The sequence below is a fragment of the Homo sapiens genome, chromosome 9, assembly GCF_000001405.40.
Source record: "Homo sapiens chromosome 9, GRCh38.p14 Primary Assembly".
NCBI classification, from domain to species: domain Eukaryota; kingdom Metazoa; phylum Chordata; class Mammalia; order Primates; family Hominidae; genus Homo; species Homo sapiens.
The window spans coordinates 44,556,849-44,574,316 of record NC_000009.12 but is presented as its reverse complement, the minus strand read 5'-3'; the positions used below and the strand labels follow the sequence as shown (position 1 = coordinate 44,574,316).

The 17,468-nt window shown below is 37.3% G+C and overlaps 1 annotated feature.

Moving 5' to 3' along the window:
* Positions 1-17,468: part of a centromere (Linear centromere model derived predominantly from reads generated in PMID: 17803354. This region does not represent an actual centromere sequence, as long-range ordering of repeats and unmapped WGS contigs is not provided by the model. For details of model production, see http://arxiv.org/abs/1307.0035.) that runs on past both edges of the window.

Below are 17,468 nucleotides of genomic sequence, written 5' to 3'. Positions count from 1 at the left end.
GCTATCCGAATATCCACCTGCAGATTCTACAAAAAGAGTGTTTCCAAAATGCCGTATCAAAACAAAGGTTCAACTCTGTTAGTTGAGAACACACATGGCAAATAAGTTTCTGAGAATGCTTCTGTCTAGTTTTTACTTGAAGATATTTCCTTTCTCACCATAGGCCTGAAAGCGCTTGAAACGTCCGCTTGCAGATACTACAGAAGGAGTGTTTCAAACATGCTCTATGAAAGGGAATGTTCAGTTCTGTGACTTGAATGCAAACATCACAAAGAAGTTCCTGAGAATGCTTCTCTCTAGATTTTCTATGTAATCCCGTTTCCAACGAAATCCTCAAAGCTATCCAAATATCCACTTTCAGATTCCACAAAAAGAGTGTTTCAAAACTGCTCTGTAAAAAGAAAGGTTCATCTCTGTTATTTGAATACACACATCACAAACAAGTTTCTGAGAATGCTTCTGTCTAGTTTTTATGGGAAGATATTTCCTTTTTCAACATAGGCCTCAAAGCGCTGCAAATGTCCACTTCCAGGTAGTGCAGAAAGAGTGTTTCAAACCTGCTCTATAAAAGGGAATATTCAACTCTGTGACTTGAATGCAAACATCACAAAGCACTTTCTGAGAATGCTTCTGTCTTGATTTCATATGAAGATATTCCCGTTTCCAACGAAACCTTCAAAGCTATCCAAATATCCACTTGCAGATTCTACAAAAAGAGTGTTTCCAAAATGTTGTATCAAAAGAAAGGTTCAACTCTGTTAGTTGAGGACACACATCGCAAATAAGTTTCTGAGAATGCTTCTGTCTAGTTTTTATTTGAAGATATTTCCTTTCTCACCACAGGCCTGAAAGCGCTTAAAACGTCCGCTTGCAGATACTACAGAAAGAGTGTTTCAAACCTGCTCTATGAAAGGGAATGTTCAGTTCTGTGACTTGAATGCAAACATCACAAAGAAGTTCCTGAGAATGCTTCTCCCTAGATTTTATATGTAATCCCGTTTCCAACGAAATCCGCAAAGCTATCCAAATATCCACTTTCAGATTCCACAAAAAGAGTGTTTCAAAACTGCTCTGTAAAAAGAAAGGTTCATCTCTGTTAGTTGAATACACACATCACAAACAAGTTTCTGAGAATGCTTCTGTCTGGTTTTTAGGAGAAGATATTTCCTTTTTCAACATAGGCCTCAAAGCGCTGCAAATGTCCACTTCCAAATATTAGAAAAAGAGTGTTTCAAACCTGCTGTATGAAGGGAAGTGTTCAACTCTATGAGTTGAATGCAAACATCACAGAGAAGTTTCTGAGAATGCTTCTGTCTTGATTTCATATGAAGATATTCCCGTTTCCAACGAAACCTTCAAAGCTATCCAAATATCCACTTGCAGATTCTACAAAAAGAGTGTTTCCAAAATGTTGTATCAAAAGAAAGGTTCAACTCTGTTAGTTGAGGACACACATCGCAAATAAGTTTCTGAGAATGCTTCTGTCTAGTTTTTATTTGAAGATATTTCCTTTCTCACCACAGGCCTGAAAGCGCTTAAAACGTCCGCTTGCAGATACTACAGAAAGAGTGTTTCAAACCTGCTCTATGAAAGGGAATGTTCAGTTCTGTGACTTGAATGCAAACATCACAAAGAAGTTCCTGAGAATGCTTCTCTCTAGATTTTATATGTAATCCCGTTTCCAACGAAATCCTCAAAGCTATCCAAATATCCACTTTCAGATTCCACAAAAAGAGTGTTTCAAAACTGCTCTGTAAAAAGAAAGGTTCATCTCTGTTAGTTGAATACACACATCACAAACAAGTTTCTGAGAATGCTTCTGTCTAGTTTTTATGGGAAGATATTTCCTTTTTCATCATAGGCCTCAAAGCGCTCCAAATGTCCACTTCCAGGTAGTGCAGAAAGAGTGTCTCAAACCTGGTATATAACAGGGAACATTCTACTCTGTGACTTGAATGAAAACATCACAAAGCAGTTTCCTGAGAATGCTTCCGTCTAGACTTTATATGAAGATATTCCCGTTTCGAACGAAACCTTCAAAGCTATCCGTATATCCACCTGCAGATTCTACAAAAAGAGTGTTTCCAAAATGCCGTATCAAAACAAAGGTTCAACTCTGTTAGTTGAGAACACACATGGCAAATAAGTTTCTGAGAATGCTTCTGTCTAGTTTTTACTTGAAGATATTTCCTTTATCACCATAGGCCTGAAAGCGCTTGAAACGTCAGCTTGCAGATACTACAGAAAGAGTGTTTCAAACCTGCTCTATGAAAGGGAATGTTCAGTCCTGTGACTTGAAGGCAAACATCACAAAGGAGTTCCTGAGAATGCTTCTCTCTAGGTTTTATATGTAATCCCGTTTCCAACGAAATCCTCAAAGCTATCCAAATATCCACTTTCAGATTCCACAAAAAGAGTGTTTCAAAACTGCTCTGTAAAAAGAAAGGTTCATCTCTGTTAGTTGAATACACACATCACAAACAAGTTTCTGAGAATGCTTCTGTCTAGTTTTTATGGGAAGATATTTCCTTTTTCAACATAGGCCTCAAAGCGTTCCAAATGTCCACTTCCAGGTAGTGCAGAAAGAGTGTTTCAGACCTGCTCTATAAAAGGGAATATTCAACTCTGTGACTTGAATGCAAACATCACAAAGCACTTTCTGAGAATGCTTCCGTCTAGATTTTATATGAAGATATTCCCGTTTCCAACGAAACCTTCAAAGCTATCCGAATATCCACCTGCAGATTCTACAAAAAGAGTGTTTCCAAAATGCCGTATCAAAACAAAGGTTCAACTCTGTTAGTTGAGAACACACATGGCAAATAAGTTTCTGAGAATGCTTCTGTCTAGTTTTTACTTGAAGATATTTCCTTTCTCACCATAGGCCTGAAAGCGCTTGAAACGTCAGCTTGCAGATACTACAGAAAGAGTGTTTCAAACCTGCTCTATGAAAGGGAATGTTCAGTCCTGTGACTTGAAGGGAAACATCAAAAAGAAGTTCCTGAGAATGCTTCTCTCTAGGTTTTATATGTAATCCCGTTTCCAACGAAATCCTCAAAGCTATCCAAATATCCACTTTCAGATTCCACAAAAAGAGTGTTTCAAAACTGCTCTGTAAAAAGAAAGGTTCATCTCTGTTAGTTGAATACACACATCACAAACAAGTTTCTGAGAATGCTTCTGTCTAGTTTTTATGGGAAGATATTTCCTTTTTCAACATAGGCCTCAAAGCGCTCCCAATGTCCACTTCCACGTAGTGCACAGAGTGTTTCAAACCTGCTCTATAAAAGGGAACATTCTACTCTGTGACTTGAATGCAAACATCACAAAGCACTTTCTGAGAATCCTTCCGTCTAGATTTTATATGAAGATATTCCCGTTTCCAAGGAAATCTTCCTAGCTATCTAAATATCAACTTGCAGATTCTACTAAAGGAATGTTTCCAAAATGCTGTATCCACACAAAGGTTCAACTCTGTTAATTGAGGACATACAGCACAAGGAAGTTTCTGAGAATGCTTCTGTCTAGTTTTTACTTGAAGATATTTCCTTTCTCACCATAGGCCTGAAAGCGCTTGAAACGTCAGCTTGCAGATACTACAGAAAGAGTGTTTCAAACCTGCTCTATGAAAGGGAATGTTCAGTTCTGTGACTTGAATGCAAACATCACAAAGAAGTTCCTCAGAATGCTTCTCTCTAGATTTTATATGTAATCCCGTTTCCAACGAAATCCTCAAAGCTATCCAAATATCCACTTTCAGATTCCACAAAAAGAGTGTTTCAAAACTGCTCTCTAAAAAGAAAGGTTCATCTCTGTTAGTTGAATACACACATCACAAACAAGTTTCTGAGAATGCTTCCTGTCTGGTTTTTAGGAGAAGATATTTCCTTTTTCAACATAGGCCTCAAAGCGCTGCAAATGTCCACTTCCAAATATTAGAAAAAGAGTGTTTCAAACCTGCTGTATGAAGGGAAGTGTTCAACTCTATGAGTTGAATGCAAACATCACAGAGAAGTTTCTGAGAATGCTTCTGTCTTGATTTTATATGAAGATATTCCCGTTTCCAACGAAACCTACAAAGCTATCCAAATATCCACTTGCAGATTCTACAAAAACAGTGTTTCCAAAATGTTGTATCAAAAGAAAGGTTCAACTCTGTTAGTTGAGGACACACATCGCAAATAAGTTTCTGAGAATGCTTCTGTCTAGTTTTTATTTGAAGATATTTCCTTTCTCACCATAGGCCTGAAAGCGTTTGAAATGTCCGTTTGCAGATACTACAGAAAGAGTGTTTCAAACATGCTCTATGAAAGGGAATGTTCAGTTCTGTGACGTGAATGCAAACATCACAAAGAAGTTCCTGAGAATGCTTCTCTCTAGATTTTATATGTAATCCCGTTTCCAACGAAATCCTCAAAGCTATCCAAATATCCACTGTCAGATTCCACAAAAAGAGTGTTTCAAAACTGCTCTGTTAAAAGAAAGGTTCATATCTGTTAGTTGAATACACACATCACAAACAAGTTTCTGAGAATGCTTCTGTCTAGTTTTTATGGGAAGATATTTCCTTTTTCATCATAGGCCTCAAAGCGCTCCAAATGTCCACTTCCAGATAGTGCAGAAAGAGTGTCTCAAACCTGGTATATAAAAGGGAACATTCTACTCTGTGACTTGAATGAAAACATCACAAAGCAGTTTCTGAGAATGCTTCCGTCTAGATTTTCTATGAAGATATTCCCGTTTCCAACGAAACCTTCAAAGCTATCCGAATATCCACCTGCAGATTCTACAAAAAGAGTGTTTCCAAAATGTCGTATCAAAACAAAGGTTCAACTCTGTTAGTTGAGAACACACATGGCAAATAAGTTTCTGAGAATGCTTCTGTCTAGTTTTTACTTGAAGATATTTCCTTTCTCACCATAGGCCTGAAAGCGCTTGAAACGTCCGCTTGCAGATACTACAGAAAGAGTGTTTCAAACATGCTCTATGAAAGGGAATGTTCAGTTCTGTGACTTGAATGCAAACATCACAAAGAAGTTCCTGAGAATGCTTCTCTCTAGATTTTATATGTAATCCCGTTTCCAACGAAATCCTCAAAGCTATCCAAATATCCACTTTCAGATTCCACAAAAAGAGTGTTTCAAAACTGCTCTGTAAAAAGAAAGGTTCATCTCTGTTAGTTGAATACACACATCACAAACAAGTTTCTGAGAATGCTTCTGTCTAGTTTTTATGGGAAGATATTACCTTTTTCATCATAGGCCTCAAAGCGCTGCAAATGTCCACTTCCAAATATTACAAAAAGAGTGTTTCAAACCTGCTGTATGAAGGGAAGTGTTCAACTCTATGAGTTGAATGCAAACATCACAGAGAAGTTTCTGAGAATGCTTCTGTCTTGATTTTATATGAAGATATTCCCGTTTCCAAAGAAACCTTCAAAGCTATCCAAATATCCACTTGCAGATTCTACAAAAAGAGTGTTTCCAAAATGTTGTATCAAAAGAAAGGTTCAACTCTGTTAGTTGAGGACACACATCGCAAATAAGTTTCTGAGTATGCTTCTGTCTAGTTTTTATTTGAAGATATTTCCTTTCTCACCATAGGCCTGAAAGCGTTTGAAATGTCCGTTTGCAGATACTACAGAAAGAGTGTTTCAAACATGCTCTATGAAAGGGAATGTTCAGTTCTGTGACGTGAATGCAAACATCACAAAGAAGTTCCTGAGAATGCTTCTCTCTAGATTTTATATGTAATCCCGTTTCCAACGAAATCCTCAAAGCTATCCAAATATCCACTTTCAGATTCCACAAAAAGAGTGTTTCAAAACTGCTCTGTAAAAAGAAAGGTTCATCTCTGTTAGTTGAATACACACATCACAAACAAGTTTCTGAGAATGCTTCTGTCTAGTTTTTATGGGAAGATATTTCCTTTTTCATCATAGGCTTCAAAGCGCTGCAAATGTCCACTTCCAGGTAGTGCAGAAAGAGTGTCTCAAACCTGGTATATAACAGGGAACATTCTACTCTGTGACTTGAATGAAAACATCACAAAGCAGTTTCTGAGAATGCTTCCGTCAAGATTTTATATGAAGATATTCCCGTTTCCAACGAAACCTTCAAAGCTATCCGAATATCCACCTGCAGATTCTACAAAAAGAGTGTTTCCAAAATGCCGTATCAAAACAAAGGTTCAACTCTGTTAGTTGAGAACACACATGGCAAATAAGTTTCTGAGAATGCTTCTGTCTAGTTTTTACTTGAAGATATTTCCTTTCTCACCATAGGCCTGAAAGCGCTTGAAACGTCAGCTTGCAGATACTACAGAAAGAGTGTTTCAAACCTGCTCTATGAAAGGGAATGTTCAGTCCTGTGACTTGAAGGCAAACATCACAAAGAAGTTCCTGAGAATGCTTCTCTCTAGGTTTTATATGTAATCCCGTTTCCAACGAAATCCTCAAAGCTATCCAAATATCCACTTTCAGATTCCACAAAAAGAGTGTTTCAAAACTGCTCTGTAAAAAGAAAGGTTCATCTCTGTTAGTTGAATACACACATCACAAACAAGTTTCTGAGAATGCTTCTGTCTAGTTTTTATGGGAAGATATTTCGTTTTTCAACATAGGCCTCAAAGCGTTCCAAATGTCCACTTCCAGGTAGTGCAGAAAGAGTGTTTCAAACCTGCTCTATAAAAGGGAATATTCAACTCTGTGACTTGAATGCAAACATCACAAAGCACTTTCTGAGAATGCTTCTGTCTTGATTTTATATGAAGATATTCCCGTTTCCAACGAAACCTTCAAAGCTTTTCAAATATCCACTTGCAGATTCTACAAAAAGAGTGTTTCCAAAATGTTGTATCAAAAGAAAGGTTCAACTCTGTTAGTTGAGGACACACATCGCAAATAAGTTTCTGAGAATGCTTCTGTCTAGTTTTTATTTGAAGATATTTCCTTTCTCACCATAGGCCTGAAAGCGTTTGAAATGTCCGTTTGCAGATACTACAGAAAGAGTGTTTCAAACATGCTCTATGAAAGGGAATGTTCAGTTCTGTGACGTGAATGCAAACATCACAAAGAAGTTCCTGAGAATGCTTCTGTCTAGATTTTATATGAAGATATCCCGTGTCCAACGAAATCCTCAAAGGTATCAAAATATCCACTTGCAGATTCTACAAAAAGAGTGCTTCAAAACTGCTCTGTCAAAAGGAAGGTTCAACTCTGTTACTTGAGTACACACATCACAAGGAAGTTTCTGAGAATGCTTCTGTCTGGTTTTTAGGAGAAGATATTTCCTTTTTCAACATAGGCCTCAAAGCGCTGCAAATGTCCACTTCCAAATATTAGAAAAAGAGTGTTTCAAACCTGCTGTATGAAGGGAAGTGTTCAACTCTATGAGTTGAATGCAAACATCACAGAGAAGTTTCTGAGAATGCTTCTGTCTTGATTTCATATGAAGATATTCCCGTTTCCAACGAAACCTTCAAAGCTATCCAAATATCCACTTGCAGATTCTACAAAAAGAGTGTTTCCAAAATGTTGTATCAAAAGAAAGGTTCAAGTCTGTTAGTTGAGGACACACATCGCAAATACGTTTCTGAGAATGCTTCTGTCTAGTTTTTATTTGAAGATATTTCCTTTCTCACCACAGGCCTGAAAGCGCTTAAAACGTCCGCTTGCAGATACTACAGAAAGAGTGTTTCAAACCTGCTCTATGAAAGGGAATGTTCAGTTCTGTGACTTGAATGCAAACATCACAAAGAAGTTCCTGAGAATGCTTCTCCCTAGATTTTATATGTAATCCCGTTTCCAACGAAATCCGCAAAGCTATCCAAATATCCACTTTCAGATTCCACAAAAAGAGTGTTTCAAAACTGCTCTGTAAAAAGAAAGGTTCATCTCTGTTAGTTGAATACACACATCACAAACAAGTTTCTGAGAATGCTTCCTGTCTAGTTTTTATGGGAAGATATTTCCTTTTTCATCATAGGCCTCAAAGCGCTGCAAATGTCCACTTCCAAATATTACAAAAAGAGTGTTTCAAACCTGCTGTATGAAGGGAAGTGTTCAACTCTATGAGTTGAATGCAAACATCACAGAGAAGTTTCTGAGAATGCTTCCGTCTTGATTTTATATGAAGATATTCCCGTTTCCAACGAAACCTTCAAAGCTATTCAAATATCCACTTGCAGATTCTACAAAAAGAGTGTTTCCAAAATGTTGTATCAAAAGAAAGGTTCAACTCTGTTAGTTGAGGACACACATCGCAAATAAGTTTCTGAGAATGCTTCTGTCTAGTTTTTACTTGAAGATATTTCCTTTCTCACCATAGGCCTGAAAGCGTTTGAAATGTCCGTTTGCAGATACTAAAGAAAGAGTGTTTCAAACATGCTCTATGAAACGGAATGTTCAGTTCTGTGACGTGAATGCAAACATCACAAAGAAGTTCCTGAGAATGCTTCTCTCTAGATTTTATATGTAATCCCGTTTCCAACGAAATCCTCAAAGCTATCCAAATATCCACTTTCAGATTCCACAAAAAGAGTGTTTCAAAACTGCTCTGTAAAAAGAAAGGTTCATCTCTGTTAGTTGAATACACACATCACAAACAAGTTTCTGAGAATGCTTCTGTCTAGTTTTTATGGGAAGATATTTCCTTTTTCATCATAGGCCTCAAAGCGCTGCAAATGTCCACTTCCAGGTAGTGCAGAAAGAGTGTCTCAAACCTGGTATATAACAGGGAACATTCTACTCTGTGACTTGAATGAAAACATCACAAAGCAGTTTCTGAGAATGCTTCTGTCTTGATTTTATATGAAGATATTCCCGTATCCAACGAAACCTTCAAAGCTATCCAAATATCCACTTGCAGATTCCACAAAAAGAGTGTTTCCAAAATGTTGTATCAAAAGAAAGGTTCAACTCTGTTAGTTGAGGACACACATCGCAAATAAGTTTCTGAGAATGCTTCTGTCTAGTTTTTATTTGAAGATATTTCCTTTCTCACCATAGGCCTGAAAGCGTTTGAAATGTCCGTTTGCAGATACTACAGAAAGAGTGTTTCAAACATGCTCTATGAAAGGGAATGTTCAGTTCTGTGACGTGAATGCAAACATCACAAAGAAGTTCCTGAGAATGCTTCTCTCTAGGTTTTATATGTAATCCCGTTTCCAACGAAATCCTCAAAGCTATCCAAATATCCACTTTCAGATTCCACAAAAAGAGTGTTTCAAAACTGCTCTGTAAAAAGAAAGGTTCATCTCTGTTAGTTGAATACACACATCACAAACAAGTTTCTGAGAATGCTTCTGTCTAGTTTTTATGGGAAGATATTTCCTTTTTCAACATAGGCCCCAAAGCGCTCCAAACGTCCACTTCCAGGTAGTGCAGAAAGAGTGTCTCAAACCTGGTATATAACAGGGAACATTCTACTCTATGACTTGAATGAAAACATCACAAAGCAGTTTCTGAGAATGCTTCCGTCTAGATTTTATATGAAGATATTCCCGTTTCCAACGAAACCTTCAAAGCTATCCGAATATCCACCTGCAGATTCTACAAAAAGAGTGTTTCCAAAATGCCGTATCAAAACAAAGGTTCAACTCTGTTAGTTGAGAACACACATGGCAAATAAGTTTCTGAGAATGCTTCTGTCTAGTTTTTACTTGAAGATATTTCCTTTCTCACCATAGGCCTGAAAGCGCTTGAAACGTCAGCTTGCAGATACTACAGAAAGAGTGTTTCAAACCTGCTCTATGAAAGGGAATGTTTAGTCCTGTGACTTGAAGGCAAACATCACAAAGAAGTTCCTGAGAATGCTTCTCTCTAGGTTTTATATGTAATCCCGTTTCCAACGAAATCCTCAAAGCTATCCAAATATCCACTTTCAGATTCCACAAAAAGAGTGTTTCAAAACTGCTCTGTAAAAAGAAAGGTTCATCTCTGTTAGTTGAATACACACATCACAAACAAGTTTCTGAGAATGCTTCTGTCTAGTTTTTATGGGAAGATATTTCCTTTTTCAACATAGGCCTCAAAGCGCTCCAAATGTCCACTTCCAGATAGTGCAGAAAGAGTGTCACAAACCTGGTATATAAAAGGGAACATTCTACACTGTGACTTGAATGAAAACATCACAAAGCACTTTCTGAGAATGCTTCTGTCTTGATTTCATATGAAGATATTCCCGTTTCCAACGAAACCTTCAAAGCTATCCAAATATCCACTTGCAGATTCTACAAAAAGAGTGTTTCCAAAATGTTGTATCAAAAGAAAGGTTCAACTCTGTTAGTTGAGGACACACATCGCAAATAAGTTTCTGAGAATGCTTCTGTCTAGTTTTTATTTGAAGATATTTCCTTTCTCACCACAGGCCTGAAAGCGCTTAAAACGTCCGCTTGCAGATACTACAGAAAGAGTGTTTCAAACCTGTTCTATGAAAGGGAATGTTCAGTTCTGTGACTTGAATGCAAACATCACAAAGAAGTTCCTGAGAATGCTTCTCCCTAGATTTTATATGTAATCCCGTTTCCAACGAAATCCGCAAAGCTATCCAAATATCCACTTTCAGATTCCACAAAAAGAGTGTTTCAAAACTGCTCTGTAAAAAGAAAGGTTCATCTCTGTTAGTTGAATACACACATCACAAACAAGTTTCTGAGAATGCTTCTGTCTGGTTTTTAGGAGAAGATATTTCCTTTTTCAACATAGGCCTCAAAGCGCTGCAAATGTCCACTTCCAAATATTAGAAAAAGAGTGTTTCAAACCTGCTGTATGAAGGGAAGTGTTCAACTCTATGAGTTGAATGCAAACATCACAGAGAAGTTTCTGAGAATGCTTCTGTCTTGATTTCATATGAAGATATTCCCGTTTCCAACGAAACCTTCAAAGCTATCCAAATATCCACTTGCAGATTCTACAAAAAGAGTGTTTCCAAAATGTTGTATCAAAAGAAAGGTTCAACTCTGTTAGTTGAGGACACACATCGCAAATAAGTTTCTGAGAATGCTTCTGCCTAATTTTTATTTGAAGATATTTCCTTTCTCACCACAGGCCTGAAAGCGCTTAAAACGTCCGCTTGCAGATACTACAGAAAGAGTGTTTCAAACCTGCTCTATGAAAGGGAATGTTCAGTTCTGTGACTTGAATGCAAACATCACAAAGAAGTTCCTGAGAATGCTCTTCTCCCTAGGATTTTATATGTAATCCCGTTTCCAACGAAATCCGCAAAGCTATCCAAATATCCACTTTCAGATTCCACAAAAAGAGTGTTTCAAAACTGCTCTGTAAAAAGAAAGGTTCATCTCTGTTAGTTGAATACACACATCACAAACAAGTTTCTGAGAATGCTTCTGTCTAGTTTTTATGGGAAGATATTACCTTTTTCATCATAGGCCTCAAAGCGCTGCAAATGTCCACTTCCAAATATTACAAAAAGAGGGTTTCAAACCTGCTGTATGAAGGGAAGTGTTCAACTCTATGAGTTGAATGCAAACATCACAGAGAAGTTTCTGAGAATGCTTCTGTCTTGATTTTATATGAAGATATTCCCGTTTCCAACGAAACCTTCAAAGCTATTCAAATATCCACTTGCAGATTCTACAAAAAGAGTGTTTCCAAAATGTTGTATCAAAAGAAAGGTTCAACTCTGTTAGTTGAGGACACACATCGCAAATAAGTTTCTGAGAATGCTTCTGTCTAGTTTTTACTTGAAGATATTTCCTTTCTCACCATAGGCCTGAAAGTGTTTGAAATGTCCGTTTGCAGATACTACAGAAAGAGTGTTTCAAACATGCTCTATGAAAGGGAATGTTCAGTTCTGTGACGTGAATGCAAACATCACAAAGAAGTTCCTGAGAATGCTTCTCTCTAGATTTTATATGTAATCCCGTTTCCAACGAAATCCTCAAAGCTATCCAAATATCCACTTTCAGATTCCACAAAAAGAGTGTTTCAAAACTGCTCTGTAAAAAGAAAGGTTCATCTCTGTTAGTTGAATACACACATCACAAACAAGTTTCTGAGAATGCTTCTGTCTAGTTTTTATGGGAAGATATTTCCTTTTTCATCATAGGCCTCAAAGCGCTCCAAATGTCCACTTCCAGATAGTGCAGAAAGAGTGTCTCAAACCTGGTATATAAAAGGGAACATTCTACTCTGTGGCTTGAATGAAAACATCACAAAGCAGTTTCTGAGAATGCTTCCGTCTAGATTTTATATGAAGATATTCCCGTTTCCAACGAAACTTTCAAAGCTATCCGAATATCCACGTGCAGATTCTACAAAAAGAGTGTTTCCAAAATGCCGTATCAAAACAAAGGTTCAACTCTGTTAGTTGAGAACACACATGGCAAATAAGTTTCTGAGAATGCTTCTGTCTAGTTTTTATTTGAAGATATTTCCTTTCTCACCATAGGCCTGAAAGCGTTTGAAATGTCCGTTTGTAGATACTACAGAAAGAGTGTTTCAAACATGCTCTATGAAAGGGAATGTTCAGTTCTGTGACGTGAATGCAAACATCACAAAGAAGTTCCTGAGAATGCTTCTCTCTAGATTTTATATGTAATCCCGTTTCCAACGAAATCCTCAAAGCTATCCAAATATCCACTTTCAGATTCCACAAAAAGAGTGTTTCAAAACTGCTCTGTAAAAAGAAAGGTTCATCTCTGTTAGTTGAATACACACATCACAAACAAGTTTCTGAGAATGCTTCTGTCTAGTTTTTATGGGAAGATATTTCCTTTTTCATCATAGGCCTCAAAGCGCTCCAAATGTCCACTTCCAGGTAGTGCAGAAAGAGTGTCTCAAACCTGGTATATAACAGGGAACATTCTACTCTGTGACTTGAATGAAAACATCACAAAGCAGTTTCTGAGAATGCTTCTGTCTTGATTTCATATGAAGATATTCCCGTTTCCAACGAAACCTTCAACGTTATCCAAATATCCACGTGCAGATTCTACAAAAAGAGTGTTTCCAAAATGTTGTATCAAAAGAAAGGTTCAACTCTGTTAGTTGAGGACACACATCGCAAATAAGTTTCTGAGAATGCTTCTGTCTAGTTTTTATTTGAAGATATTTCCTTTCTCACCACAGGCCTGAAAGCGCTTAAAACGTCCGCTTGCAGATACTACAGAAAGAGTGTTTCAAACCTGCTCTATGAAAGGGAATGTTCAGTTCTGTGACTTGAATGCAAACATCACAAAGAAGTTCCTGAGAATGCTTCTCCCTAGATTTTATATGTAATCCCGTTTCCAACGAAATCCGCAAAGCTATCCAAATATCCACTTTCAGATTCCACAAAAAGAGTGTTTCAAAACTGCTCTGTAAAAAGAAAGGTTCATCTCTGTTAGTTGAATACACACATCACAAACAAGTTTCTGAGAATGCTTCTGTCTGGTTTTTAGGAGAAGATATTTCCTTTTTCAACATAGGCCTCAAAGCGCTGCAAATGTCCACTTCCAAATATTAGAAAAAGAGTGTTTCAAACCTGCTGTATGAAGGGAAGTGTTCAACTCTATGAGTTGAATGCAAACATCACAGAGAAGTTTCTGAGAATGCTTCTGTCTTGATTTCATATGAAGATATTCCCGTTTCCAACGAAACCTTCAAAGCTATCCAAATATCCACTTGCAGATTCTACAAAAAGAGTGTTTCCAAAATGTTGTATCAAAAGAAAGGTTCAACTCTGTTAGTTGAGGACACACATCGCAAATAAGTTTCTGAGAATGCTTCTGTCTAGTTTTTATTTGAAGATATTTCCTTTCTCACCACAGGCCTGAAAGCGCTTAAAACGTCCGCTTGCAGATACTACAGAAAGAGTGTTTCAAACCTGCTCTATGAAAGGGAATGTTGAGTTCTGTGACTTGAATGCAAACATCATAAAGAAGTTCCTGAGAATGCTTCTCCCTAGATTTTATATGTAATCCCGTTTCCAACGAAATCCGCAAAGCTATCCAAATATCCACTTTCAGATTCCACAAAAAGAGTGTTTCAAAACTGCTCTGTAAAAAGAAAGGTTCATCTCTGTTAGTTGAATACACACATCACAAACAAGTTTCTGAGAATGCTTCCTGTCTAGTTTTTATGGGAAGATATTTCCTTTTTCATCATAGGCCTCAAAGCGCTGCAAATGTCCACTTCCAAATATTACAAAAAGAGTGTTTCAAACCTGCTGTATGAAGGGAAGTGTTCAACTCTATGAGTTGAATGCAAACATCACAGAGAAGTTTCTGAGAATGCTTCCGTCTAGATTTTATATGAAGATATTCCCGTTTCCAACGAAACCTTCAAAGCTATCCGAATATCCACCTGCAGATTCTACAAAAAGAGTGTTTCCAAAATGCCGTATCAAAACAAAGGTTCAACTGCTGTTAGTTGAGAACACACATGGCAAATAAGTTTCTGAGAATGCTTCTGTCTAGTTTTTACTTGAAGATATTTCCTTTCTCACCATAGGCCTGAAAGCGCTTGAAACGTCAGCTTGCAGATACTACAGAAAGAGTGTTTCAAACCTGCTCTATGAAAGGGAATGTTCAGTTCTGTGACTTGAATGCAAACATCACAAAGAAGTTCCTGAGAATGCTTCTCTCTAGGTTTTATATGTAATCCCGTTTCCAACGAAATCCTCAAAGCTATCCAAATATCCACTTTCAGATTCCACAAAAAGAGTGTTTCAAAACTGCTCTGTAAAAAGAAAGGTTCATCTCTGTTAGTTGAATACACACATCACAAACAAGTTTCTGAGAATGCTTCTGTCTGGTTTTTAGGAGAAGATATTTCCTTTTTCAACATAGGCCTCAAAGCGCTGCAAATGTCCACTTCCAAATATTACAAAAAGAGTGTTTCAAACCTGCTGTATGAAGGGAAGTGTTCAACTCTATGAGTTGAATGCAAACATCACAGAGAAGTTTCTGAGAATGCTTCTGTCTTGATTTTATATGAAGATATTCCCGTTTCCAAAGAAACCTTCAAAGCTATCCAAATATCCACTTGCAGATTCTACAAAAAGAGTGTTTCCAAAATGTTGTATCAAAAGAAAGGTTCAACTCTGTTAGTTGAGGAAACACATCGCAAACAAGTTTCTGAGAATGCTTCTGTCTGGTTTTTAGGAGAAGATATTTCCTTTTTCAACATAGGCCTCAAAGCGCTGCAAATGTCCACTTCCAAATATTACAAAAAGAGTGTTTCAAACCTGCTCTATGAAGGGAAGTGTTCACCTCTATGAGTTGAATGCAAACATCACAGAGAAGTTTCTGAGAATGCTTCTGTCTTGATTTTATATGAAGATATTCCCGTTTCCAACGAAACCTTCAAAGCTATCCAAATATTCACTTGCAGATTCTACTAAAAGAGTGTTTCCAAAATGTTGTATCAAAACAAAGGTTCAACTCTGTTAGTTGAGGACACACATCGCAAATAAGTTTCTGAGAATGCTTCTGTCTAGTTTTTATTTGAAGATATTTCCTTTCTCACCATAGGCCTGAAAGCGCTTGAAATGTCCGTTTGCAGATACTACAGAAAGAGTGTTTCAAACATGCTCTATGAAAGGGAATGTTCAGTTCTGTGACGTGAATGCAAACATCACAAAGAAGTTCCTGAGAATGCTTCTCTCTAGATTTTATATGTAATCCCGTTTCCAACGAAATCCTCAAAGCTATCCAAATATTCACTTTCAGATTCCACAAAAAGAGTGTTTCAAAACTGCTCTGTAAAAAGAAAGGTTCATCTCTGTTAGTTGAATACACACATCACAAACAAGTTTCTGAGAATGCTTCCTGTCTAGTTTTTATGGGAAGATATTTCCTTTTTCATCATAGGCCTCAAAGCGCTGCAAATGTCCACTTCCAAATATTACAAAAAGAGTGTTTCAAACCTGCTGTATGAAGGGAAGTGTTCAACTCTATGAGTTGAATGCAAACATCACAGAGAAGTTTCTGAGAATGCTTTCTGTCTTGATTTCATATGAAGATATTCCCGTTTCCAACGAAACCTTCAAAGCTATCCAAATATCCACTTGCAGATTCTACAAAAAGAGTGTTTCCAAAATGTTGTATCAAAAGAAAGGTTCAACTCTGTTAGTTGAGGACACACATCGCAAATAAGTTTCTGAGAATGCTTCTGTCTAGTTTTTATTTGAAGATATTTCCTTTCTCACCACAGGCCTGAAAGCGCTTAAAACGTCCGCTTGCAGATACTACAGAAAGAGTGTTTCAAACCTGCTCTATGAAAGGGAATGTTCAGTTCTGTGACTTGAATGCAAACATCACAAAGAAGTTCCTGAGAATGCTTCTCCCTAGATTTTATATGTAATCCCGTTTCCAACGAAATCCGCAAAGCTATCCAAATATCCACTTTCAGATTCCACAAAAAGAGTGTTTCAAAACTGCTCTGTAATAAGAAAGGTTCATCCCTGTTAGTTGAATACACACATCACAAACAAGTTTCTGAGAATGCTTCTGTCTAGTTTTTATGGGAAGATATTTCCTTTTTCAACATAGGCCTCAAAGCGCTCCAAACGTCCACTTCCAGGTAGTGCAGAAAGAGTGTCTCAAACCTGGTATATAACAGGGAACATTCTACTCTGTGACTTGAATGAAAACATCACAAAGCAGTTTCTGAGAATGCTTCTGTCTTGATTTTATATGAAGATATTCCCGTTTCCAACGAAACCTTCAAAGCTATTCAAATATCCACTTGCACATTCTACAAAAAGAGTGTTTCCAAAATGTTGTATCAAAAGAAAGGTTCAACTCTGTTAGTTGAGGACACACATCGCAAATAAGTTTCTGAGAATGCTTCTGTCTAGTTTTTACTTGGAGATATTTCCTTTCTCACCATAGGCCTGAAAGCGTTTGAAATGTCCGTTTGCAGATACTACAGAAAGAGTGTTTCAAACATGCTCTATGAAAGGGAATGTTCAGTTCTGTGACGTGAATGCAAACATCACAAAGAAGTTCCTGAGAATGCTTCTCTCTAGGTTTTATATGTAATCCCGTTTCCAACGAAATCCTCAAAGCTATCCAAATATCCACTTTCAGATTCCACAAAAAGAGTGTTTCAAAACTGCTCTGTAAAAAGAAAGGTTCATCTCTGTTAGTTGAATACACACATCACAAACAAGTTTCTGAGAATGCTTCTGTCTAGTTTTTATGGGAAGATATTACCTTTTTCATCATAGGCTTCAAAGCGCTGCAAAAGTCCACTTCCAAATATTAGAAAAAGAGTGTTTCAAACCTGCTGTATGAAGGGAAGTGTTCAACTCTATGAGTTGAATGCAAACATCACAGAGAAGTTTCTGAGAATGCTTCTGTCTTGATTTTATATGAAGATATTCCCGTTTCCAACGAAACCTTCAAAGCTATCCAAATATCCACTTGCAGATTCCACAAAAAGAGTGTTTCCAAAATGTTGTATCAAAAGAAAGGTTCAACTCTGTTAGTTGAGGACACACATCGCAAATAAGTTTCTGAGA